The sequence below is a fragment of the Homo sapiens genome, chromosome X (genome assembly GCF_000001405.40).
Source record: "Homo sapiens chromosome X, GRCh38.p14 Primary Assembly".
Lineage (NCBI taxonomy): Eukaryota > Metazoa > Chordata > Mammalia > Primates > Hominidae > Homo > Homo sapiens.
In genome coordinates this window covers 16,436,791-16,463,477 of record NC_000023.11, presented here as the reverse complement: position 1 = coordinate 16,463,477, position 26,687 = coordinate 16,436,791, and the positions used below count along the sequence as shown (strand labels likewise).

Sequence of the window (26,687 nt, the reverse complement as noted above, 5' to 3'; positions counted from 1 at the left end):
CATTTTGCCCTTTCCAGCGGGCAGATAATAAAACACTGTTTTGATTCTCATTTGTGATTTTGTGTACGTCTGATTCCCTTAGGAATCTCAAAAAGGGAAAATTGACTGAGTAGCTAGGCAGGATTATGGCGTCCCAAGCCCCCTGACCTCAGTACCATCAATCTGGTTGTTAAATGCCATCTTCTTTTCCTTGGATCAGCAAGGGGTAATTTTTAGAGCAGGGCCTGGGCAAGCCAGAGGAGTTGGGAAATGCAGCAATGGCCAAATGCCATTTGGGGGATATTTTTAGTTACCTAAATAAACTGTATTTCCACAGTGTCTGCAGAGCTTATGGTTTGTGTGCAGTAAATAAAATGATGGAATGCCATGAGGGAGCCCAGCCAGATGACTCCATTTGTGTGCATTCTGTTCCAGAGGAATCCCTTCAGCAGCAGACGGCTCCATGTGATTCAGTGAAGGCGCACAAGCTGCTCTCCAACCGCCGTGGCTTCTTTCCTGTTCTGGTTATTTTGCCAGTTTCACCACACCACACTCGGAGCAGTTTCCCAGAGAGCGTGGGTGTTAATGATCAGGAGGAACAGAGTTCTGTGATCAAGTGAATTTTGGAAATGCTACGTCAAGCAGAGTTAAATAAGGTGCGTTCCCATAGAACATGTTAGCACTGCTAATAATGTATATCAAGAGGGTGGTGTGTTAAGTAGGGTTTTCCAAACTTATTTGAACACAAACTCCTTTCGTAGTTAAAGAATAGCCATTAATATCAATCTTTTGCCCCTCAGCTCCAAACCCACACTTTGTTGCCCAGATTGTGATTCTGGGATGTTTTCCCCTTGCTGACTGGCGTGATGCTGAGCTTTGTTGGTAGAGGCTGCTGGGATGACTCGGGAGAAGGGTAGGGCTTCTCTTTCTAGCGTTGGTATGCTTTGCTTCTCCTTGTTCCTGTGGCAGTGGGCTGGGCATGTGGGATACCCAGTGGAGCTCATGCCAGTGAGTTTCAATGGCACTCCATGGGCAGCTTCATGGCAAGTTTTGCAGGTGCCCCAGCTGTGGTGGGGCTCAGTGACAACCTCTTCCATAGGTGCCCCGGCTGGCTTCCCCATGAGCTCAGCAGGACCCCCTGCAGGTGACACCTTTGTGATTTTCTGGAGAGTCCAGCCATGGCAGCTTCCCAGAAAATTCAACAGCATTCCCCAAGGGAAACTTTGTCATGAATTATCAGGACTCCAGTGGGCAGTTTCCTTCCTACCAGCCTTGGCCTGCTGGCCCATGTTGGGGGATTTCCAGCTTGCCAGCTGTGGCCCACAGTTTCTGGCCAGGGCTCTCAGTACACAGACCAGCTCTGGCCCAGTGCAACCCCAGGACAACCCAACACACTTCTCCTCCACCAAGTGGGCTGTAGCCCATCCTCTCCAGTGAAGGCTGAATCCTAGCCTTGGGGAGGCCTCTCCCGCATCCCATTTCAAGTTGGTTTCTTCCTTAGTCTCCCTTAGCCTGAAAGCTTGCTTGCTTGCTTCCTTCTTCCTTCCTAGTTTCCTTCCTCCATCCCTCCCTCCCCCTTTCCCTCCCTCCCTCCCTTCCTCCCTTCCTTTACATTTGAGATATAATTCACATACGATACAATTTACCCTTTCAAAGTTTACAAGTCAGTGTTTTCACAAAGTTGTGCAACTATCACCACAATGTAATCCAGAAGATTTTCATCTCCCCAAAAAAGAAATCCTATACCCATTAGTAGTCACTCCCCATTCTCCATTCCCTGCACCACCCCTAGCTCCCGACAACCATGAATCCACTTTTACTCTCTAGAGATTTACCTTTTCTGGGCAGTTCATATAAATGTACTCACATGTACATGGTTTTTTTTGTGTGTGTGTCAGGCAGCTTTCACTTAGCATAACATTTTCAGGTTACATTCACGTTGTAGGATATATCAGAATTTCATTTCTGTTTATGGCTGAATAACATTCTACTGTACGGATATACCACATTTTGTTTATCCGTTCATCAGTTGATGGACATTTGGTTTGTTTCCACCTATTGGTTATTGGAATAGTGCTGCTGTAAACATTCATGTACAAGTTTTGGTGTGGACATATGTGTTCATTTTTCTTGGATATCTACCTTAGGTGGACTTGCTGAGTCATATGGTGACTCTGTTTAACTTTGGATTTGACCAAAGAGAGTGTCAGGTGGTTAATTGTCTTATTAAAAGATTTATCCCAGTCTTATTTTAATTAACAAGCAGCCTTGGTACATTTAAAAAACATAATTTGAGGCCAGGCACGGTGGCTTATACCTGAAATCCCAGCACTCTGGGAGGCTGAAGAGGGTGGATCACCTGAGGTCAGGAGATCGAGACCAGCCTGGCCAACATGGTGAAACCCCCGCCTGTACTAAAAATGCAAAAAGTTAGTCAGGCGTGGTGGTGCACGCCTGTAATCCCAGCTACTGGGGAGGCTGAGGCGGGAGAATTGCTTGAACCAGGGAGGCAGAGGTTTCAGTGAGCTGAGATCGTGCCACCGCACTCCAGCCTGGGTGACAGAGTAAGACTCCGTCTCAAACAAACAAAACAACAATAACAACAACAACAACAAAAACATAATTTGAAACATTATTGTGAGGTGCAGATAACATGGGCTTTGGAGCCAGGCAAGCCAGGGTCAGATTCCACCTCTGCTGTTTTTACCTGAGATGTGGTGATGGACTGAGGTAAAAGCCCCCCTCTACCATTGTTAGCTGGGCTATGGCACATTCTGATGGGGGAAAGAACAGAGTACGGTCTTCCCTGCTCAGGGTGGAATCCGAACAATGATTTTTTTCTGTGACTTGATGTACTAAACTTAGTTAAGCTACACATGGAAATGGGTTCTTCTGGTTAATTAAATATTCTGGCTGAGAGAACAATACCACAGACCCACCATAGATGAATTCTTTTAGAAAAGAATTTGATCACAAAAAACATCAACTCAGTACTCAAAGCACATCGATAGCTCTTCGCGATGGTTTAAAGTGGATTTCCAGAAATCAAGGATGATTCAGACTGTCACAACTTGAGGGACCCGGAAGCAGGGCCAGATGCCACTTGGTGATGAGATGGGAGTTCAGCTGAGGTGGGACTGGGAGGAGCTTTCTCAGTCACTCCAAGACCAGACACATGAGCCATTGGGTATTCTGAATATTTGGGACTTTAAGGTAATCAGAATGGGTTCCTTTATCTTCTTGTCAAAATATATATTAATAAATTGTGTATATGTTATGTTGGGGTACACTGTATAGTCATTCATTACTTGTGATTTAAATCAAGCTAGTAAAAGGCTTAGGAGTAGCTCTGAAGATCATTTAGATTTTGAAAATTCTCAGCAGTTTTCTTCCCCTCAATCAAAGGACTTTCTAATGGTGAAAACATTTCACGCAGTAAGTGCATTAAAATGCTTTCTCAGATTTTACTACTCCAATTAATGATTCCATTTTCTTCAAGGGTTATTGACTGAAATGAGAGTGATTCCCATGTGGGAGGCATGTTCATGTACTTAATATCTGAGGGCTGCCAGCAGCCTACCTCAATGCTGTGTTCTTTGAACCTGCAACTATTAGGACCAGAGCAAGTCCATAATTGAAGTAGGTCCACACCGTGATGCAGTTTCTCCAGCTGTGGAAATTTCTAGGGCTTATCAATATCCCATGGAAAATGAGTCTCTACGAAGGCCCACATTTACTGTGCAAGTGAGAGACAAAACTATCCCTAATTCTAATGCACCTGGAGTAAAGCGATATGCGTATGCATTACACAGAATTATAAATGCTCTGGCCACATGTCATCCATCTGCACCTTCTGTGCTACCAGCAGATCATGCTGAATGATCTCAGAAATTCAGATTATTATTATGCAATATGAGAAGGATCTAGGTAAAGGCAGGTGGGGTGGATATGCTTACAGGTGTCTTCCCATATATTCTATTCATGCCTAAAGTGAAACACAGGTTTATTTTAGGGCTCATTTTTCATGGATCATTGATCATAAGTTTTAAAAACGCCTGCAGAGTGAAATCCAAAAATGTCCAAAAGCCAGTGCCACAGCAACAATAACTGCCTCACAGACGTACATTGCCTATTATGTACCATCCAGTGTATGTTAAATAGTAGACATTATATATCAAATATTACTTGTTATATATCATAATCTTGAGTTTTAATAGCTTGCAGCTTCAGAGAGTAGAGTAGGAAGCTTGGCTGCATACAGTATGTGGGATGCTCAGATAGGAAATATGTAAACACTGATGAAACACATGCTCATTCTGGTCAATAACCTCGTGTATATAACAATTATGAAATGCTACTGTAGGTGATCTTAAAAGGCTTCCTATTACATACATTCATACATCAGAATAAAATCTATTACATCTCTTCTTCAGTGTTGTGATAAGTGATACTGTGAAAATCACCTTATTGCCAGGCTTTCTAAGTAATCATGAGGAGTAGGAGAGGGTTCAGGAGAGTAACAGGTAAGAAGGTCCTATGCAGCCATAAAAAAGAATGAGATCATTTCCTTTGCAGGAACATGGATGGAGCTGGAAGCCATTGTCCTTAGCAAACTAACACAGGAATAGAAAACCAAACACTGCATATTCTCACTTATAAGTGGGAGATAAATGATGAGAACACATGGACACGTCGGGGGAACAACAGACAATGGGACCCACTGGACGTGGAGGGTGAGAGGAAGGAGAGGATCAGGAAAAATCACTAATGGGTATTAGGCTTAGTACCTGGGTGATGAAATAATCTGTACAACAAACCCCTGTGACATGCTTTTACCTATATAACAAACCTGCGCGTGTACCCCTGAACTTAAAAGTTTAAAAAAAGACAAATATATAAACAAACAGTGGTACCTTGATTCTTTAAGAGAAAAGCCATGAATTCCCCAAACTATAGACTGGTGAATTTGATATTGATTCTAAGCCAGAGGTCAGCCAACTTTTCTCAAAAGTGTCAGAGAGTAAGTAGCTATTTGAGGCTTGTGGGTCACATGGTCTCAGTCACAACGACTCCACGCTGCTGCAGGAGTGTGAAAGCAGACACTGACAATGTGTATGCGGATGAGCATGGCTGTGTGCCAACACAACTTGATATTCAAAAATGGATGGAGGGCCAGATGCAATATTCTAGAATAGGCTTAAAAGAAAAAAAGACTGTGAGTCCTTAAAAAGAGATGTGTTGATCCCCAGGAGTTTGCATGAACGCAGTGGTCCTCAGCGCCAGCAAGGACCACATTAGCCTAGCAAGGCTACACATTAGAATCACTGGGGAACCTTGAAAAATCCTGGTGCTCGGCCTATATCCCAGACTAATGAAATCAGAATCCCTGGGATGGGGTCTCAGAAGTTCATCATTTCTAGGGGATTCATAAGTGATTCCAATATGAAGCCACAGTTGAGAACCACGGTATGAAGTTGTGAAGTAGTGCCAGGTTAACCTCACTTCTTTTTCCTGAAAAGCCTCTGATAGTTGCTATTTGGCACTTTGGAGAATAATTTGCTGATCTCTGGCTTAGAATCAATATCAAATTCATCAGTCTGTAGTTTGGGAAGTTCATAGCCTTTCTCTTGAAAAACCAGGGCACCATTGTTTATTTGTTTTTTGTTTTTGTTTTTAATATTTGGACCTTCCCACCTGTTATTCCTTCCCTTCGTTCCTCCCTCCATCCCTCCCTCCCCCCTCCCTTCTTTCCTTCCTTCCCTCCCTCCATCCTTCCCTCCCTCCCTCCTTCCTTCCTTTTCCCTCCCTCCCTCCCTTCCTTCCTTCCTTCCTTCCCTCCTTTCCCTTTCTCCCTCCCTCCCTCTCTCCCTTCCTTCTTCTTATCTTTCCTTTCCTCCTCCTCCTCTTGGATAAAGTAGCCAGACAACTCTATTGGGGAAAAATAGTAGATGCTGTCCATGTGGATTTCTGCCAGCCATTCGCCAAAACTTTTCATTACTGTTCTGGTGGACAAATTAGGACAATGTGTTGGATGACAGAGCTGGGCTGTGATGAATAGAGTAGATACTATCCAGAATTCTTTCATGGCCTCACCCCTCCCCATTGGTGACTGTATAACAGGCATCCAGTAAATCTTTGTTGTGGGGACTGGAAATCCAACCTATAAGAAATAGTTGAGTGAACTAGGAATGTTTAACTTGCAAAAGAAAAAAAAATTATAGTGGAGTTTGAAGAGGGGTAAACATGACAATTGTCTTAAGATGTTTGTTGGGTTGTTATAATGAAGAAACAGATTTCTTTTGAAATTTCTAGAGTAGAAATAGAATCATTGTGGGAAGCCACCAGGAGGCATTCATTTGACAAATATTTTTTGAGCAGCTACTCTGTACCAGGCACTGTTTAGGCCCTTGAGACCTACCTATGAACATGACCTAAGATCCATGCCCTTGTGGAGTTTATGGTCTAGAGACTTATTTTCACATATCCGATGATTAAAGCTGTCAGAAAATAGAATGGGCTGCTTCAGAAGGTATTGATTGTAGGTTGGATAATCACTTATTTGAGGTCATTATTGTCAGGCCTCTGAGCCCAAGCTAAGCCATCATATTCCCTGTGACCTGCATGTATACATCCAGATGGCCTGAAGCAACTGAAGATACACAAAAGAAGTGAAACTAGCCAGTTCCTGCCTTAACTGATGACATTCCACCATTGTGATTTGTTCCTGCCCCACCCTAACTGATCAATTGACTTTGTGACAATACACCCTCCCTGCCCTTGCAATAATGTATTTTGTGATATTCCCCTGCCCTTGTGAATGTACTTTGTACGATATACCCTCCCCACCCTTGAGAAGGTACTTTGTATTATCCTCCCTTGCCCTTGAGAAGGTACTTCGTATTATTCTCCCCACCCTTTAGAATGTACTTTGTAAGATCCACCCCCTGCCTGTAAAAAATTGCCCCTAACTCAACCGCCTATCCCAAACCTATAAGAACTAATGATAATCCCACTACCCTTTGCTGACTCTCTTTTCAGATTCAGCCCGACTGCACCCAGGTGATTAAAAAGCTTTATTGCTCACACAAAGCCTGTTTGGTGGTCTTTTCACACGAACTCGTGTGACATTTATAAGCCACAAAAATCCAATAAGAATCTTTATCCTTGAGTATCTCTGAGTCAAGGAAAGTACCTTCTTCCTTCCCTCTCTTTGCACTCACCTTCCCTTCCCCCATCACTCCCCTAATCCCACACTCGTTTTCAAGGTAGCAATGTCAGAAGTTTACAGTTTGATCTGGCAATCCCAAAGCTCCAGGCAGAACAATCACAGGCAGTGAATAAAGCTGTGGACAAATTGTCCCTCTCTTGCATGACAAGGCCAATGGAGGCAGGGAGGGGCTTGCTCCCTGCTTTGAGTTTCTGGGACTAGTTTTATGTTAGTGTCATCCTGCACATCCCATACAATGGGAACGGACAATGTAGTGTTTGGGGCCATAAACATTTAAATTATGTGTCTTTGGAGTCTTGGGGTTTCAAAGACCACTGACTGGCTGGTTGATACGTAGTACTACAATGAAGTTTCCTATTTGTATGTGGTTTTTCCTTTCAACTCTTTGCCACAACCAGATACTAGTAATGGGTTGAGATGATGGGAAAGTTGTGGGGAGGAAGGATGCTGTATTTTCTTTCACTGACCACAGTGATGCACATACATATATATATATATATATATACATATATGTATATTTATATACAAACACATACACACATGTACATGTGTGTATATATAAATATACATCTATGAATATTGTTTGCTCTGTGGCTGGTGGGCAAAGGAATGAACACAGTGAGAGAGTGGAGGCAACAAAGTGGCCCCATGAAGTGTGGCACACTCCTATTTCAAATGCCTAATGCTGACCTCCCAAGAAGAGCAGAATGGAAGAATTTCACCATCTGGGGAGAATGAAGTTAAATTTGAGGGCAAGAGAACCAGGGACAATGTGGAAGACAGGCTCCTGGGAGGGCTGGCAGGAACAAGAAAGGATGCGAGCTTCAGAGAACCTAGGCACTACACCTAGGCACTACAAAGGCAGGCTTTGCTCCAGGCTGGACTTCAGGCTGAGGGGAGAGGACAGGCTAGCATGGTGAGTGTGTTGGGGGAGCATGACACAAATAAGAGATTGAGGGTCGTGGGACCCTGAGTTTTAGAGATAAGGAGGACCACAAGATTTTGTTTTTCTTTCTTAGGCACAGAGCCCAGTAGGCTTACTTACAATTACCCAGTTATTTTTTATTGCATGTTATGGAGGAAATTATAATTTCTGTGGTATTTCTCAATTTGAGGATTCACAAGAATGTAAATGGTCTGTTGTCAATAACTGGATTCAAGTTTTAGAAATATCTGGATGGTGTAAAAATGATTTAAATGTTGTAAAACCAGAAAGTTACCATAACAGAATTAAAATGTCCCATTATCTGAAGATTGCAATTGTTTTTAATTACTGGAGCTGAATCATTGTTGTTCTTTTGCCTAATGTCACCTAGAATATTGAGCTAAAGCAAGCCTGACAGATAGTTTCAGTGTCACTGTGTAGGGTTGTGTTTGTTCGTTGATGTTTACCCAGAACCTCCCTGAAAATGCAGGCTGGGAGGTTGGCCCCAGAGTCAGGAGTTGTTGGTGTAAAAATCAATGTTAAGACATGGCCATTCAGCGAGGTCTTTTCTGTTTTCAACATCAGTTGAGAAGAAGTAATTTAATAATGGTTTAAATTAGGTCAGAGGACAACAGGGCTTCCCTGCAGAATTACAGATCATATAGATTTTTCTCTAGAAGCAAGATAGTGTTGTAGGAAAGTTTAACCAATTCCCTTTACTGCTACATGGTTTGTTTGTTTGTTTGTTTTTTTGAGATGGAGTTTCACTCTTGTTGCCCAGGCTGGAGTGCAATGGTGGGATCTCAGCTCACCGCAACCTCCGCCTCCCAGGTTCAAGTGATTCTCCTGCCTCAGGCTCCTGAGTGGCTGGGATTACAGGCATGTGCCACCACGCCCGGCTAATTTTGTATTTTTAGTAGAGATGGGGTTTCTCCATGTTGGTCAGGCTGGTCTTGAACTCCCGACCTCAGGTGATCTCGCCTCGCCTTCCAAAGTGTTGGGATTACAGGCGTGAGCCACCACACCCAGCCATGATTATCTTGATATCAGAAAGATTCTGTGTGTTTATTTCACTGCGGAAACGTGGCTGCTTCCTCCAGGAGGCAGCATGGGTGGTTGGGGTGCAGATGTCTTACTCCTCTTTGGTGTCTTCCTGCCTCAGTCCTCAGTGTAGTGCCTAGGTTCTCTGAAGCTGGCATCCTTTCTTGCTCTTGCCAGCCCTCTCAGGAGCTGATGTGCTTCCATGTCTTACAGAGTTCCTGAAGCTGGCCTGGGCATGCCCCCTTTCTATTGAGATAGCAAGACGCAGCCCCTCCAAGGCAATAGTTTCCAACCCTGGCTACACTTTAGAATCTGAATGCTGATGTGCAAGCCCACCTCCAGAGATCTTGAATTAATTGGCCCTCACAGCGGGTACTGGGGATTCTGATGTGCAGTTCGGGTTGAAAATACTACTTTAATCAGTTGTAATTTTGGTTCCAGCCCCTTTGAGTTTCATCCAATGTTAGAATAAACTTTCAGGAAAATCCTCTAATGAGGACTGTATAACTAGATTGGGTCAACAGGTTTGGGAATATTTAAATGGTGGTCACGACAATCCAGCAATGGAAGTTACAGAATGATTGCTTCCAAAGGGGGTCTAGAATCATTTTACTGACACTTACATACTTCTGTGGTTGATACAGTGAGTAGTTCTTTGTTGGCCTAGACTAGGCTTTGAAAAACACTAATGTGAGCATTAAATTTTGTCCTCCATGGCTCTGGGTTTTTGGAGGCTGCATAGAATTGACAGGTAGACGAGTAAGCCAGGATCATAAGCTGTGAAAGAGTATTAAAATAGGCTTGAAGTTTGACAGCTTGCCACATTCATTCAGGCTCTGGGAAAATGCTTATATAGGGGAGGTACTGGGTCATTATCTGCAGAATACGTTCGTCATGATCATAAATGACTTATTTCCTTCAGTTTTAAAAATCCTGTTGGCAGAGAAGAGCCAGTCAATTTTTTCTTTTTTCTTTTTTCTTTTTTTTTAGTGGAGGTATGACGTGATAAAAACTGTGGTTAAGGATTGCTTCTATAATAATACAGTCACGCCCCACATAACGTTTTGGTCAAGGATAAACCACATTTGCAACAGTGGTCCTGTACGATCATAATACCGCATTTTTACTGTACTTTTTCTACATTTATTTATTTACTCTAAATATAGAGACAGAGTCTCACTCTGTCACCCAGGCTGGAGTGCAATGGCGCGATCTCAGCTCATTGCACCCTCTGCCTCTGGGGCTCAAGCAATTTTCCTGCCTCAGCTTCCCAAGTAGCTGGGACCACAGATGTGCACCACCATGTCTGGCTAATTTTTGTATTTTTTGTAGAGACAGGGTTTCGTCATGTTGCCCAGGCTGGTCTTGAACTCCTGAGTTCAAGCGATCCACCCACCTCAGCCTCCTGAAGTGCTGGAATTACAGGCATGAGCCACCGCACCTGGCACTTTTTCTATGTTTAAATGCAAAAAAAAGATACTTAACATTGTGTTACAACTGCCTATAGCATTCAGTAGTCACATCCTGTGCAGGTTTGTAGTCTAAAGCAATAGGCCATACCACATAGCCTAGGTGTGTAGGTTTGTATAAGTACACTCTATGATGTTTGCACAATTACAAAAATCACCTAAAGAAGCATTTCTCGGATTGTATTCCCATCGTTGAAGTGACCCACAACTGTGTATTGGATGGATGGCAGGAGAGGAAGAAACCCCAAAACGGCAGTTCAACATTACAAATTATACCTCTAAATTGAGACAGGGGAAGTGCCACTGTGGTCAGAGGGTTTGAGGAGACTTCAGGGAGGGGATGGTTGGAAATTGATCTGAATCTTGAAGGACGCACAGGATATTTGGAGGGAGGTGAGAGTCATTCCAGGGTGGGAGATGTTTATGAACTGTCATCCAGTCACGTTAAGAAATAAAAAAATTGGCCGGGCACGGTGGCTCACGCCTATAATCCCAGCACTTTGGGAGGCCGAGGTAGGCAGATCATCTGAGGTCGGGAGTTCAAGACCAGCCTGACCAACACGGAGAAACTCCGTCTCTACTAAAAATACAAAATTAGCTGGGGTGGTGGCACATGCCTGTAATCCCAGCTACTCAGGAGGCCGAGGCAGGAGAATCACTTGAACCCGGGAGGTGGAGGTTGCAGTGAGCCGAGATCGCGCCATTGCACTCCAGTCTGGGCAACAAGAATGAAACTCCATCTCAAAAAAAAAAAAAAAAAAAAAAGAAATAAATAAAAAAATTAACACCTTATTTTGAACTCCTTCCCATTGCCCATTCACATTCTGGGCAATTGTCTCACTTCTACTGCTGCTTGCATGTAAAATCTGTACTCTGTGCCAGGGCCTTGAGTGCCTTGTACAACACACTCAAAAAAATCTCTATAAATGTCTCTTCCCAAGTCTCTCCTCTCAGCCATTCAATTTCCCAGCTCCAGCCCCGACACCACTTATCCCTTCAGGCGGCTTCTCCCCTTCTTTCATTCCTCCCCTGGGAAGATTTCAGCCCTGTCCTGGTTTCTTTCTTTAGTCTTGTTACTGCCACCCAACAGGCAGGATTCCTTAGGTATGGAGGGGCCATTTTACTGAGGATAAAGCATTTGGGGTGCCTCCAGCTCTCGGCACCTGCCCGCCTGCCGACTGCTATCATAGAGTGAATTGAAGATTTTTTATAAAGGTACTTTTCATTGTGCAAGTTAAGTACAAACATGATCCCTCACTGTAAGAAACTTATGATCTCACCATTGGGTGGGGCTATACAAGACTGAAGAAAGAAGCCAGGACATGGGGAAAATTTTCCACATAAGTAGGGTAGATGGTGATATCTGAGCTGGAGGAAAAAGATGAGCCCAGGAGTTGCATGGCTCAGAGAAAAGACTTGGGGAGAGGTATTTATAGGAAATTTTATGAGATGTGCTATGTGCTGTGCAGTGCAGATTTCTTATTCATCTCCTCAGGAGACGATCAGTGGATTTTCACTGATTCTTTAGCACAAATGGATCCTTTATGATGTCTGAGGAGAGTGCTCAGTCCTGCTTATGGTGAGAGGACAGAGGCTGCCACCTGTGAGATTGGACACAGGGACTTTCTTGCTCTCCTGCTTCTCCTCTTGGCCCAGCATGGTGGAATACAGGCTGGATGCCCAGTAAATACTTCTGATTCAAATGTATTTTTATTTTTACAACTTCCCTTTGAGACCCACAATTTTATCCTTGTTTTCCAGATAGGAAAACCATGAGCCTGAATTACCATACTTCTGCTTCCCAGATTCTTGCACACTATAGGAGAGATATTAGAGGATTTATGCTAGATACTGTCTTCTACTTTATACATTATATCCGAATGCATAAGTCTTATTTCAGTCACACAGCCTTCACTTTTGTGTTTCATTTTCACTTTTCAGCACAAAGATTATATATTATATCTGGGTAATAAAATCAGAGGTAATGTTTGGCTCCAAGAAAGCAAACATATATCTACCTATGTTGAAATTTTACCCCTTTTCCACAATAGTTCAATAGCCATTAAGACTCATGCCTAAGAAAGCAGTGATAAATAAGAGGAACATATGTACAAAACGTTGGTTAAAGGCACAAAGCCATGGGTGCTCGAGGAATTCTGAAATATTTGAACTCATCAAGAATTCTGTTGGAGTTCTATCAGTGTTTGCTGGACTTCATGATTAGTGATGGTTCTCACTGCTCTTTGAATTAGAGTAGACGTTTGGAAAGGGGGCTTATTGTAGAACAGAATGCCATATTTAGATGAATGTTGTAACCACTTCAGAATTCAGGATCTTGTTTCTTAAAACAATACAGAATGTTAAGGGTGGAAGGAGCCTTAGAGATGGGGAAGCTGAAACCTCAAATAGTGAGTAAATTTGGTCCAGAGTCCAAATCTCCTGAGGCCCAACTTGATGTTCTTTTCACTGGATGTTCTGTTGGCACAGTGCAGGGCAAAGGGTTTAATTGACAGAGAGAAATAAAACTTAATTTTTCATCTGGGAGTATAGATTAGATGGCCTCTCAGAACCTAAAAGAGTCCATATTCCAAGAAAAAAAAAACATATTCCACATATCATGAAAACAAATGAGGATGTTTATTCCTCTTAAACTAAATTTCTTAAAATTTTACGGCATCGTATCTCTTTGTAAGCAAATATCTTTTTGAAAATCATGTAGAAGATGATTGACAAGTTAACTTTTGACTTATTCACTTGAAGTTGAGGCTGATCAAGACAGAAATAAACATACTTTTCACCTTTCTCAGGGTGGAAGAAGACAAATTTACTGGGGATGTGGGAAGGCTGCCCTGAAGGTAACCCATAACTGGGTTGGACTATCAAAGAAAGGGCGTGGGTGGAGACTTCTGCTTGGAAGTCTAAAGAGGGAAGAGTCTTGATTCTTGGGTGCTATGGATCCTGGGGATAAGGAAGAGGGACCAGGATGGAAATTCCACAATTGAAGACAGTGGCACTCACAGGAGTGTAGCACTTTAGATGTGGAAGGATCACAGAGAATGCTCTGTTGATGGTGGAAAGCATCATGGTTAGCAGGCGCTGTAGCAGCTGACCAGATCAATGGTGCCCAATCAGTGATGGGGGAACTGTTCATCAGAGGTCTCAAGACACAGAAGGGAGAAATAGCTCAGCACTGCTACAGCACTGAGAGTCTTCGAGGAGGCACCAAGAAATTGATGCTTTAGTTTCTGCCAATACCCATTCAGCTGAGTGGGTGCTCAAGCCATATTTTCTTTGATTTAGACAAAGCCATGCGTTGTAGCTATTTTCCTAATGCCAAGGAGTAGTTTATACCTATTTTATTATTAATAATTGTAATAGTAATACTAGCTATCATTTGCTTACTGTCTTTTGTTATGGAATGAATTTTGTGGCCCCTGAAATTCTTATGTTGAAGCCCTAACTCCCAAAGTGATGATATTTGGAGATGGCACCTTTGGGTGGTAATTAGGGTTAGATGAGATCATGAGGGTGGGGTCCTCTTGATGGAATTTTTTTTTTTTTTTTTTTTTTTTTTTAAGACGGAGTCTTGCTCTGTCGCCCAGGCTGGAGTGCGGTGACGCGATCTCAGTTCGCTGCAAGCTCCGCCTCCCAGGTTCACACCATTCTCCTGCCTCAGCCTCCGGAGTAGCTGGGACTACAGGTGCCCACCACCACGCCCAGCTAATTTTTTGTATTTTTAGTAGAGACGGGGTTTCACTGTGTTAGCCAGGATGGTCTCAATCTTCTGACCTTGTGATCCGCCCGCCTTGGCCTCCCAAAGTGCTGGGATTATAGGTGTGAGCCACCGCGCCCGGCCTCTTGATGGAATTAATGCCCTTATAAGAAGGGGAAGAGAGAGAGAGAGAGATCTGTCAGCTGTCTGTCTGCAACCCAAGGAGAGAGCCCTTACCAGGAACTGAATCAAACAGCAACTTGATCTGAGACTTCCAGCCTCCAGAACTGTGAGAAAAGTAAATTTTTGTTGTTGAAGTCACCCATTCTGTGGTATTTTGTTATGGCAGCCTGGGCTAAGATACCTACCATGTGCCAGGAACTTCCTGTATGTTGCTTTGACTAATCCTCAAAACAACTCTTCAAGGTAGGTATTTCTACCTGGCAAAGGAAACAGAAACAGAGAGGTTAACCACCTTGCCCAAGGTCACACAGCTAGCATGTGAGAAAATGTTTATAAAATGCCTAGTGCAGTATCTAGTACAGAATAAGCCCTCAATAGAGAGCTTTTTATAACTCAAAAGCTCATGTTGTTTTCCATATACATTCAGGTCACCATTTTGTCTGAGCTTGTAAGCTGTCTTTGTTCTTTCCACTCCATAGCTACCACTTGACACAGGGATTCTGACCTTATTGTGACATCCTGGAAATTAAGTTCAGCCAGAGGTGGCTCCTGACCTAAACAGAGAGCCCAGCCTCATTGTTCCTTAAAGTCTCTCTGAAGTAAGATGCCTCTGGAATAATAACCAGTAGTGATGGAATCCCAATCAGGAACCCAATGGGGAACTTTTCTTGAGAAACTCTTCCCCTAAGGCCTGAGCCTGGGTGCTACTTGACTGCTGCTCCATGGCTTACTATGGGCAAGGTCTGGAAAGCCTTGGAGAAGTCTAGGCAGTCACAGGTAGCAGCCAGTGTAGAGGATATTAGAGGACAGGGCCAACATAGGAGGTGGGTTCATAAGGCAAGAGGCTGGGGACAGACTCTTGGCTCTTCCTTGGATGGGTCCAAATCCCAGAGCTGGCCTTGCATTGGGAGAATGATCAGAGCAGGAAGGCCTTTTCCCAAGTCCTATCTGAGCCACACAGCAAACCCTGGGGGGCGTGGAGGGAGCGATGTACCTTTAACCCCAAGGCTGACCATATCTCCACGCCATGCCTGGGGTTTCTGCCATTCAGGGGTTCTGGGGTCCAGCAAGGGTGAAGTGAAGAAAACAGGAGGAAGAAGAGAGGAGAGGGAGAGCAGGGTGTTTGGAAGCCTCAGGATCTGGTAAGAAGAGGAGAAAGCAAAGAGCAGCAGGAGCCACGAACGCTTCATTTCCTGCTTGTCCTCCCTGCCTCATTCTTGAATGAGGATCTTGAAGTAATGAGTGAGGAGGATTTTCCTAGCTACTAGCATAAGGGAGTATAAGAAAATAGTAGATAAGGAATAAAGTCCAGAGCTAATAAGAAGCACCTTTACTGTTGAATTCTTCTGAGAAAATTTCAGAAGTAAAATTCCTAGGTAAATTTTAGTTTATGTTCCATTCTAGGGAAATGTCAGCCACTCTCCTCTAATTAACATTGCTAAAAGCTTAGAGTGAAAGCTTTCATTTCCTGTTGCTTTTTACATGGACTTGCCACAGCAATCAGTGTCTGTGTAGCTTTCCTTCCCTCGGCTCTTGGTGTTCTTTCTCTGACATTAAGAAATTCTCTTCCTGCATGGAACAAGTGTTATTTTGTTAAAACCGGATGCCTGTCATTTATTCCTTGCAACTGTAAACCAAAAAGGAACTGAGACAAGTCTCAATCAATGTAGAAGTTTATTTTGAGGGCCGGGTGCGGTGGCTCACGCCTGTAATCCTAGCACTTTGGGAGGCTGAGGTGGGTGGATTGCTTGACCTCAGGAGTTTGAGACCAACCTGGGCAACATGGTGAAACCCCGTCTCTACTAAAATACAAAAAATTAGCCGGGTGTGATGGCACACGCCTTAATCCCAGCTACTAGGGAGGGTGAAACAGGGGAATCACTTGAACCTGGGAGGCAGAGGTTGCAGTGAGCTGAGATCGCGCCATTGCACTGCAGCCTGGGAGACAGAGCGAGACTCCGTCTCAAAAAAAAAAAAGAAGTTTATTTTGAGAAGGTTAAGGACGTACTCATGACACAGCCTCAGGAGGTCCTGAGAACATGTGCCCAAGGTGGTTGGGCCACAGCTTGGTTTTATACATTTTAGGGAGACATAAGATATCAATCAGTACATGTAAGGTGTACATTGGTTTGGTCTGGAAAGGTGGGACAACTGGAAGTGGGGGCTTCTAGGTCAGAGGTGAATTCAAAGATTTTCCAATTGGCAATTGGTTGAAAGACTTCTTCTAAAGGCCTGGAATCTATGGGAGGGAGTGTCTGGGCTAAGATAAGGGGTTGTGGAGACCAAGGTTCTTATTATGCAGATGAAGCCTTTAGGTAGCAGGCTTCAGAGAAAATAGATTGTAAATATTTCTTATTAGACTTAAAAAGGTGCCAGACTATTAGTTAATTCTCTCCTGGATCAGGACGAAGACCTGGAAAAGTAAAGGGATTCTTTCCAGAATGTAGATTTTCCCCACAAGAGACAGCATTGCAGGGCCATTTCAAAATATGTCAAAAAATATATTTTAGGGTAAAATACTTCAATTTCTTTCAGGGCCTGCTATCTGTCAAGTGATGCTATAATAGAGTCAGGCTGGAATTCGGTGTCTTATTGCTACAAAGTCTTAAGATGTCTATTGTAATGTGAATGCTGGTCAGTTGTGCCTGAATTCCAAAGCAAGGCGGGTATAAGGAGGCATGTCCAACTATGCCCCCCACTGCCCCCCAACCCCGCCAGCCCCGGCATCCCATCATTGCCTGAACTAGTTTTTCAGGTTCTTTGGAATGTCCTTGGCTGAGAGAAGGGGTCCTTTCAGATGGTTGGGGGGCTTAGAATTTTTTTTTTAGTTTACACAACTAATATAAATTTTATCAAAGGTTTCTGATGGTTCACACAGAAGTCCCACGGTGCAATTCTCCACTGGAAGACATTTTTATTTCCTAGGGCTATTAGTTGGCTTACAATAAAAACTTTAAAGCACTTTTCTTTCCTGAGAAAATTGCTCTCTGAATCAATGGGATTGAGCATAGATAATGGAAAGAGACAGTAAGATGTTCTTGCCTGTAACCAAGCTCCTGTTTAGCGCTTAGTTTGTCTGTCCAACCTGGAGAATCATGGGATGCCCCAGGAATTGTTCCTGAGATTTAAGTTTCACATTGAGACTTTAGGGTTGTTTCCTACAGATTGACTCTTCCCAGAGTGGGTGATCCATCCATGGAACAACCTTGGGTGGGCCTGTGGGTGCATCCTTAAAACAAATGAGGGCTCACTCTGAATATAAGGCAAGATCTTTCAACTGTGGCACTATTGACATTTTGGACTGGACAATTTTGTGTTATGGGAGTGTCCTGTGCAATGTAGGATGTTTGGCAGCATCCCCGGCCTCTACCCACTAGATGCCAGCCTCCACCCCTAAGCTGTGACATCCAAAAATGTCTCCAGACACTGCCAAATGTCCACTGCAGGAAAATATCACGCCCTGTTGAAAACCACTGATCCAAAGCACCCGCAATTATTTATTCTGGTACAGTTGTAGAAGGCCTCGAACACTTTTCTTCAAAGGGCTGTACAGCCTTAAGAAACCACTAGAGGGCGAGCAGGGCTGCTAATTTGAGCTGCTTCATAAAGGTGTCACTGCAGGACTTGGCAGAAGCAGGGGGCCAAGGGACTCCCCTTGGGAGCTTGATGGAACCACTGAGAAGAGCAAGTCCTGCCATCCTAAGAGCATTAGGGAAGCAGCCACCAGTAAGAACGCACCCCTCACCCCAGGAGCTGAGAAGACCATGGTTATGAGGTGACTGTCAAGTGATGGGCTCCATCACCCAGGGTGAGGTAACCCTCTGTGAGGAGGGGTCAGCCAGCCTCTTCTGTCTCCTTGATGTGGTGTACTTAGTGTAGAGAGGAAAGAGATTATTGGTCTTATCTCGATTTTTCATGAAGGGGAGATAGCATTCAGTTCAATAAGTATTTATTTCATGTCTACTATTTATAAGGTTCTGTGTTTGATTATGGGGATATTGGTAGATTGCATAAATGGCCACAAATTATTTACCTGTCTGTATCCATGCCTTTGGGCAGTCCCCTCCCACATTGACTCTGGGCATAGCCATTTGATTTGCTTTGGCCAATGGGTCAATAGCAAATGTGATGCAAGCAGAGACCTGAAAGCTCTTGCTCACTGGGGCATATCCACTCTTGAGGCTCTTGGGACCCTGCCGCTGCTGTCGTGTGAGGAAGCCCAAGCTAGCCTGCTGAATGATGAGAGATCCGTGACCCCAGGGGCTCCTATTACCTCAGCTGACAGCCAGCCAACTTCCAGAAGCTGAGACACCTAGTTGACCAGCAGCCAACTGGCACGGCTTAACTCAGTATAGCAGAAGACCAGCAAAAGAAAGGCCCAGCCCAAATTGCCAACCCACAGAATTGCGAGTCACGTAGTTGGCTGTAGTTTTTAGGTCACTAAGCTTAGGGTGGACTGTTACGCAGCAAAAGCTAATGAAAACACAGATGGATGAGACATAGTTCTTGCCTTCAGGACTCCACAGCCTAAGAGACCAATAATTTGCTCCCAAGGCAGGCTGCTTGTGTAATTGGACCCTTAGAGCCATACGAGACAGTAATAGCAGTCACGTTCGTTTTTCACTCCTGGAATACTAGTTAAAAGCATGAACTTGAAAACCAAAGCGCTTGAACTTAAATCCCAGCTCCATCACTTACTAGCTGTGTGACTCTGTGTAGGTTCCTTAATCTTTGTGTCTCTATTTTCTCGAAAAGGGATAATGATAGAACCTACCTCATGGAGTTGTTGAGGGGATTAATAGGTACACATTTCTTATGATAGGGTCTATGATTTAGTAAGTGTTTTGAAAGTACTAGCAATATATGTTTGGTCTAAAATGGAATCAGCATTAAAGTGTTTTCTTTTTGAATAACACCTTCCACTACATATAATAGTAATACATGTTCTTTGTGAAAAGCTGAAAAAAATACAGGAAAACTATAAAGAAGAGAACAAATGTCATCCCTTAGATTTTGTGCCAACTTTAGAAATAACACATTTTATTTTAAATCAAGCTACTATGATCAGCTTTGGAGAAAGGTCATTCAAGATACTCAGGGAATAAAGGTATCAAGTGCTTAGCCGAGTGAAGCCCTTTATATAGACTTTGCTCAGTGTACATTTCTCCAGTTGGATTGAAAGAGATCAAGTAGTTCCTTGTCCTATAGCATCTGGGATATAATTTGCAGATCCCAATGGACTAAATTAAACATTGGAGCAAAGTGCAAAGGAAAACCAGAAAGGAAGGCAATGATTAGCAACTCTGGACCCATGGAGCATTTCTAACTAAGGAGTATGTTCTTATTTTATTTTTATTCATATTATTTTTAATAAATCATAATTGTACATATTTATAGGGTATAATGTGATGTTTTGATGTATGTATACAATATGGGATAATTAAATCAAGATAATCAAGATGAATTAACATATCCATCACCTCACTTATCATTTTTTGTTGTGTGACATTTGAAATTTACTCTTACTTTGAAATATACATTATTATTGACTATAGTCACCCTGCTGTGCAATAGATCTCAAAACTTAGTCCTTCTGTCTATCTGAAATTTTGTACCCTTTGACCAACAGCTCCCCATTCTCTCTTTTCCTCTACCACTGGTCCCTGGTAACCATCATTCTACTTTCTACTTCCGTGAGTTTAACTTTTTAGGATTCCACATATAAATGAGATCACATGGTATTTATTTTTCTGCACTGGCTTATTTCACTTAGCATAATGTCCTCCAAGTTCATCCATGTTGTTGCAAATGACAGAATTTCCTTCTTTTCATGGCTGAATAATATTCCATTGTGTATATATACCACATTGTAATTATCCATTCGTCTGTTGATGGATACTTAGGTTGATTCCATATCTTGGCTATTGTGGACAGTGCTGCAATAAACATGGGAGTGCAGATATCCGTTTGACATATTGATTTCAATTCTTTTGGCAATATACCCAGAAGTGGGATTACTGGATCATATGGTAGTTCTAGTTTTAGTTTTTTGAGGAACCTCCATACCATTTTCCATGATGGCTATACTAATTTACATTTCCACCAACAATGTAAAGGCATCCTCTTTCTCTATATCCTCACCAACACTTGTTATTCTCTATATTTTTGAGAAAAGCCATTTAAGGCTTGTTCTTATATGCTGCCTCTCTTGATGTGCAAGGCTGTTTAAGTTTGAAACGGCACTTGTTATTAAACTGACTTTTGCAGAAGCAGAAGTTGTATCTTAGAATGGTGTAGTAGCTGGCCAATGTAACACAGGTAGTGATTAGTGGAGCTGGGTCCAGGCCACTGACCTAACATCCAGTGGTCTTTTGTGTTTGGCTTCTTTTACTAGCATAATGTTTCTGAGATTCATCCAAGTTGTAGCATGTATCAGTGCTTTGTCCCTTTTTATTGCTGAATGGTACTGTGTTGTATGAATATACCACAGTTTATTTATCGATGAACATTTTGATTGCTTCTACAAGTCTTGTAGAGACATATGTCTTCTATAAACATACATCTTCATTCATTTCCCTTAGGTAGATACTTAGGAGTGGAATTGTTGGGTCATATGGTGACTCTCTGACATTTTGAGAAACTACAAGACTGTTTTCCAAAATAAGTGTACTATTTTACAATCTTGGTAGCAATGTATGAGGATTTCCAGTTTCTTCACATCCTCATCTATACTTGTTACTGTTTGTCTTTTAAATTATAACTATTCTAGTGGTTGTGAAATGCTATTTTATTTTGGTTTTGACTTGCATTTTCCTAATGCCTAATGTTGTTGAGTATCTTTTCATCTGCTTATTAGCTATTTGTATATATTTTTGGTAAAATGTTTTTTCAAATCTTTTGCCTATTTAAAAATTTGCTTATTTTTCTTCTTTCAAATTATTTGTTGTATAAAAACTCAACATGAATAAAGGACTGGGAAAGAGAGAATGGCAACTTGGAGAACCTGGTGGTTAGATATACCTATAGCATGAATCTTATTAGAAGGCTAAAGAGGTAGGCATGGTCCTGACCTTGTAGAATTGCACTATCCAGTATGGTGGCTGCTAACCACATGACATGATGGATTATGGAGCATGTCAAAGGTGGCTAGTCCAATTTGAGTTGTGCTGTAAGGGTAAAACGCACACCAGATTTTAAAGACTTGCTATGAAAAACTGAATGTAAAGCATCTCATCAATAATTTTTGAATTATTACATATTAAGATGATACTATTTTGAAAATATTGACTAAAATAAAATACAGTATTAAAATTAATTCTATTTTTTAAAATAAAAAATGGCTACTATGAAATTTAAAATTACATACATGGCTCCCAATATATTTCCATTACATAGCAATGTTCTAGAACCTTGACCATCAGTAAATTAGATCTTGATATGTAGAGAAATGGGAAGGCTTTGATAGGTTTTAAGCATGAGGAAATTATGACCGCTTTTTAAAAAAGAGATTACTTTCAATGCACTGTGGTGAATAGATTGGAGAGGACAGGGAATGGCTGGCCAGGAAATGGAGTAGGCAGCTTTGCAGTAGTCTAGATGATGGATGATAGTCACTTGATAGTGATACAGAACTCAATAGTCACTTCATAGGGAAAAACAGCGTTCTGTTCAATATCTCAAATCTACTCAGAATTTTGTAGAAAATACTAAACATTTATGTGTCTCTCAGGGCTAATATCATCTGGAATATACTTTCAGAGGGAGCTACTTAAAATTCTAGACTCTTCTGTGTCTAAGGTGAAGACCACAGGTTACCTGGATCACATACCCTTGTAGGGAAGAGCCACTTAAATAGCAACTCTATACTATGCAAAATGTGGTGCTAGATCATGGTAAAGATTTGGCTTTGACCCTGAGTGAGGGGAACCATTGGAGGCTTTGGAGCACACGAGTGATGTGACCATCAGGTCATTGCTTGTTAATTGGATAACACTGGCCACTGCACTGAGAATAGACTGAAGGGAGTGAGGGTGGGAGAGGGAGGGCCCTGCGATTTAAGCAATTCTTTATTGTTAGGCATTTTCATTGTTTCTAATTTTCTCTAATTTTAAACAACAGAGTAATCAATGTTGTGCAAAATTTTATTACATCCTTCATTCATTTTCTTAAGATAAATTCCAAGAAAAGTGGCAGTTGTGGTCAATGGGGACATCTGTTATTACAGCTTTTGATATATCTTGCCAAATTGCCTTCTAGAAATTTGGACACAGCTTAAATTGCCACTGCTGTGTAGGAGAGTGTCTGCTTCCTTCTTCTTGTGCCAGCCCTTGGCAATGTTACTATTTCTTAAACTTAATCAAGCAAGAGTTCCAAGTATGCCTTTAAAATAATTCTCATATGAATTAGTCCACATTTTTCTTCATGAAACACTTCTCCCCATTGTGTCCTAGTTCAGCTATTTTATTAAACTTTAGGTAAATTATATATTCAATCATTTCAGGCTAGTGATGACAATTTATTAAATTTTTTCTGTTCCTAAAGGTGGGAGGATCTTGTCAAACTGGCACATAATTTGATTTCTACTTCTTTAATATTTTTAAAAGGAATGAAATGATAAACCCAAAATAAGTAGAGAAAAGCAAGCTCTGAACACTTTTTTTGAACTTGTGAGATATTAAACTTTTGGTAAATTTCTAATCGAGGCACGTATACACCATGGAATACTATGCAGCCATAAAAAAGAATGAGTTCATGTCCTTTGCAGGGACATGGATGAAGCTGGAAGCCATCATTCTCAGCAAACTAACACAGGAACAGAAAACCAAACACTGCACGTTCTCACTTATAAGGGGGAGTTGAACAATGCGAACACATGGACACAGGGAAGGGAACATCACACACTGGGGCCTGTTGGCGGGGGCGGGGGAGGGGGGCAAGAGGAGCGAGAGCATTAGGACAAATACCTAATGCATGCAGGGCTTTAAACCTAGATAATGGGTTGATAGGTGCAGCAAACCACCATAGCACATGTATGCCTATGTAACAAACCTGCACATTCTGCACATGTATCCCAGAACTTAAAGTAAAATAAATAAATTAAAAAAGCAATCTAGACTTACCTGTTGGGAGAAAAAGCATAAAGGTAAATAAACTATGTTTATAAATATGCATGCATGTATTTAAGTATAAGTTCTATTTCTCTCTGTTCCCTGGAAAGTCACAGGTTGAAATTAATTTTAAGAGAACATTGACCAGGCCCCTTAAAGGTTAAATTAAACTGAGGGGTGCTACTGCAATTTAATTACGTTTTCATCTTTTCGGATTAGTCATTGAATACAGATTGAAATCCTATTTTCACACATCTCTATAGGTCACCTAAATGGCTTGTTCAAAATTCTAATTTTTTTTCCCTCATGAATAATTTCCCTCAAAAGGTAACCTTTCTTCTCTATGGGCATAATAAAAGTGTTTATGTAAAAATGGCAAAGGAAAATGGATTATATTTTGTAACATACTGAGTTGTGAAGCAGAATTATGCCTTTGTACTATGAAGCTGTTCTTTTCTTTTTCCAAATGTGAAGATTTAGAAGCGAGGTGACCCGCTATTGTAGCTATGTGAAGAGGGGGAGAATCAGGGCTCCCATTACAGAGCGTAGGAGGGATGATGAATACCATAGTGAGGTTTAGTGCCACTTAAGAGCCAAAAAATTTCTGTCACAAACCTACCCCTGCTGTCTCACATTTCTGATATTAGTTCCCATTGATTGTTTCATTGCTCCTCATTGATTCTTCCAGAAATTTCTTCCTCCTTCCTAATGTCCTTTGGCTTTGCATCTCATGCCATCAGACTTCACCACTTTCTCCTCTTTCTTGTTGCAGTCATCTCCAGAGTCCTGGGTCATTCTTCTTTCTTGAAGAGTACAAGGAAGAACGCTTCCTGTCATTCTTTCCAGCACTGCTCCAGCATAATTCCTGGTGATTTAAATACAGTTGATTCTCATTATTTGGGGTAGTTAGGGTGTATAAACTTGCGATGAACACCGAATCAGTGAATACTAAACATCGTTCCTAGGGGAAAAGCACAAGTTCCTGCAAGCTTCTGGTAACTACATTGTCATGAATAGATCAAACATAACCCTGTTTTATATATGTTTCTGTCTAAAGACACCTTGTTTAATATATATTGTTGATTCATTAACATTGAACTTACAGCTAGAATGCATGCTTGAAAGAAGCTTTTCTAACACAAATTATGTATTTATGTATTTATTTATTTATTTTCCCATAAGGTACATCACAGCCTTCTTGTACTTAGGAGTGCTAGGCAGCACTAAGCTTGAGGACCATTTTTAGGTTTTTTGTTTTTTTGAGACAGGATCTCACCATATCACCTAGGCTGGAGTACAGTGGTGCCATCATGGCTCACTGCAGCCTCGACCTCCCTGGGCTCAGGTGATCCTCCCATCTCAGCCTCCAGAGTAGCTGGGACTACAGGCACATGCCACCAGCAGGCCTGGCTAATTTTTTTTTTTGGTATTTTTTGTAGAGATGGGGTTTTGCCATGTTGCCCAGGCTGCTCTCAAACTCCTGGGCTCAAGTGACCCACCCGTCTCAGCCTTTTAAATTGCTGGGATTACAGGTGTAAGCCACCCTACCCAGTCATTGGGGACCATTTTGAACAGCAAAATCACCAACAAAAAGCACAAAAATGCAAAAAACATGGCACTAAATAGTGAAAAGGACACTTGTTTATAGCCTGAGAGCTGAAACAAGAAGGCAGAGTGTCGCCTCATTTGACTCAGCTGGTGGCGTGCACGTTGGGCAACTCAAATTTTTTGCTGCTCTGCACATGTCTGCGAATGACTGCTAAAGTTCCAAGCATATTGATTTTTGGGGCTGCAAATAAATTTTAGAAAGTAGACAAATTTGCAAACAGAGAATCTGTGAATAATGAGGATTGGCTGTGTCTATGTTGATGATCTTTCTGATGATGTGAGCACTGCATTTCTTGACTTTCTGTCTAAGTATGGTAGATCTTGTCTACCATACTATTTTAGCCATGCACCCCCAAGATCATGCCGAATGTCATGAAAAGACAATATTTCCCATCCCAACACCTGTTTTTTATACAGGGATCTGAAAGTGTCAGAACCAGGGTAATTTTTTCTTTGATGTCTCATCCCCTCTGTGTTTACACCCCCACCTCCCTATCCATATGCTGAAACCCTAACCCCCAGTGTGGCTGTGGCCTCTAAGGAAGTGATTAAGGTTAAACGAAGTTGTAAGGGTGGGGCCGTGATCTGATAGGATTAATGTTCTTATAAGAAAAGACACTGGGGTTGGCCCGCACATGCGCTCACTCATGCTCATGTGCGGTCTCTCTCTCTTTCCCCCTCCTTGTGCCCTCAGAGGAAAGGCCATGTAAGGATGCAGGAAAAAGTCAGTAATCTGCAAGCCAGGAAGAAAGCTGTGGCACCACCAGAATCTGCAATCCGCTAGAACCTTGATCTTAAACTTCCCAGCTTCCAAAACTGGGAGAAAATAAATTTCTGTTGTTTAAGCCACCCAGTCTATGATACTTTGTTATTGCAACCTGAGCTGGCTAAGACACCCTTTTAAGGTATTTTTCTCTCTAGAAGAGCTCTCATTGTCTCACCTAAGTGCACTGTCCTAAACAGGTATTCTGTACTTCAAACTTTTCCTACCCACCACCAAAACATACCTTTTAAATATTCCCCAGTACTTTACTTTTCTAAAAATTGGTTCACTAATAAACCAATTGCCATCAATTAGTATTATTTTTATTATCTCTACTAACATTTTAACTTTAAAAGTAAGATATATGTTCACTTTAGGAAATTTGAAAATGACAGAAAAACGTAAAGTAGAAAATAAAAATTACTTTAATTCTAAAATGTTGGCATTTTGATATATTTCTCTTCAGTCTTTTTTTTTTTTTTCTGTGAAAACTTGCCGGAGTTCTTGGTTGCAAATCACTTTAAGCTACCCTCATTACCTTGATGAGAAAAGAAGCTTATTGGTAAGATATCAGGCAGCTCAAAGAAATATGGGACTCTTGGAGAACCTGACTGGGAACGTGGTAGGAGGCATCCATATTAAACTGGGCTACCAGAACTTCTTTCGAGCGCC

At 41.9% G+C, this 26,687-nt stretch overlaps 1 long non-coding RNA gene across 1 annotated transcript, besides 3 other annotated features; it reads left to right on the top strand.

Annotated features, from left to right (window-relative positions):
• Positions 1-18: 18 nt before the first annotated feature.
• Positions 19-26,101, top strand: LOC124905249 (uncharacterized). The gene is made up of 2 exons (XR_007068397.1): positions 19-635; positions 24,417-26,101. It is a non-coding gene; the product is annotated as an uncharacterized LOC124905249 (long non-coding RNA).
• Positions 15,881-16,406: an enhancer, noted in NCBI's record as "NANOG-H3K27ac hESC enhancer chrX:16465195-16465720 (GRCh37/hg19 assembly coordinates)". NCBI's record gives its function as "activates a minimal SCP1, AML or CMV promoter by ChIP-STARR-seq in naive H9 embryonic stem cells {active_cell/tissue: H9 hESC(naive)}" and the evidence as "EXISTENCE:reporter gene assay evidence [ECO:0000049][PMID:30033119]".
• Positions 16,407-16,932: an enhancer, noted in NCBI's record as "H3K27ac hESC enhancer chrX:16464669-16465194 (GRCh37/hg19 assembly coordinates)". NCBI's record gives its function as "activates a minimal SCP1, AML or CMV promoter by ChIP-STARR-seq in naive H9 embryonic stem cells {active_cell/tissue: H9 hESC(naive)}" and the evidence as "EXISTENCE:reporter gene assay evidence [ECO:0000049][PMID:30033119]".
• Positions 18,002-18,201: an enhancer, noted in NCBI's record as "active region_29453". NCBI's record gives its function as "activates an Ori minimal core promoter by ATAC-STARR-seq in GM12878 lymphoblastoid cells {active_cell/tissue: GM12878}" and the evidence as "EXISTENCE:reporter gene assay evidence [ECO:0000049][PMID:35858748]".
• Positions 26,102-26,687: the final 586 nt, after the last annotated feature.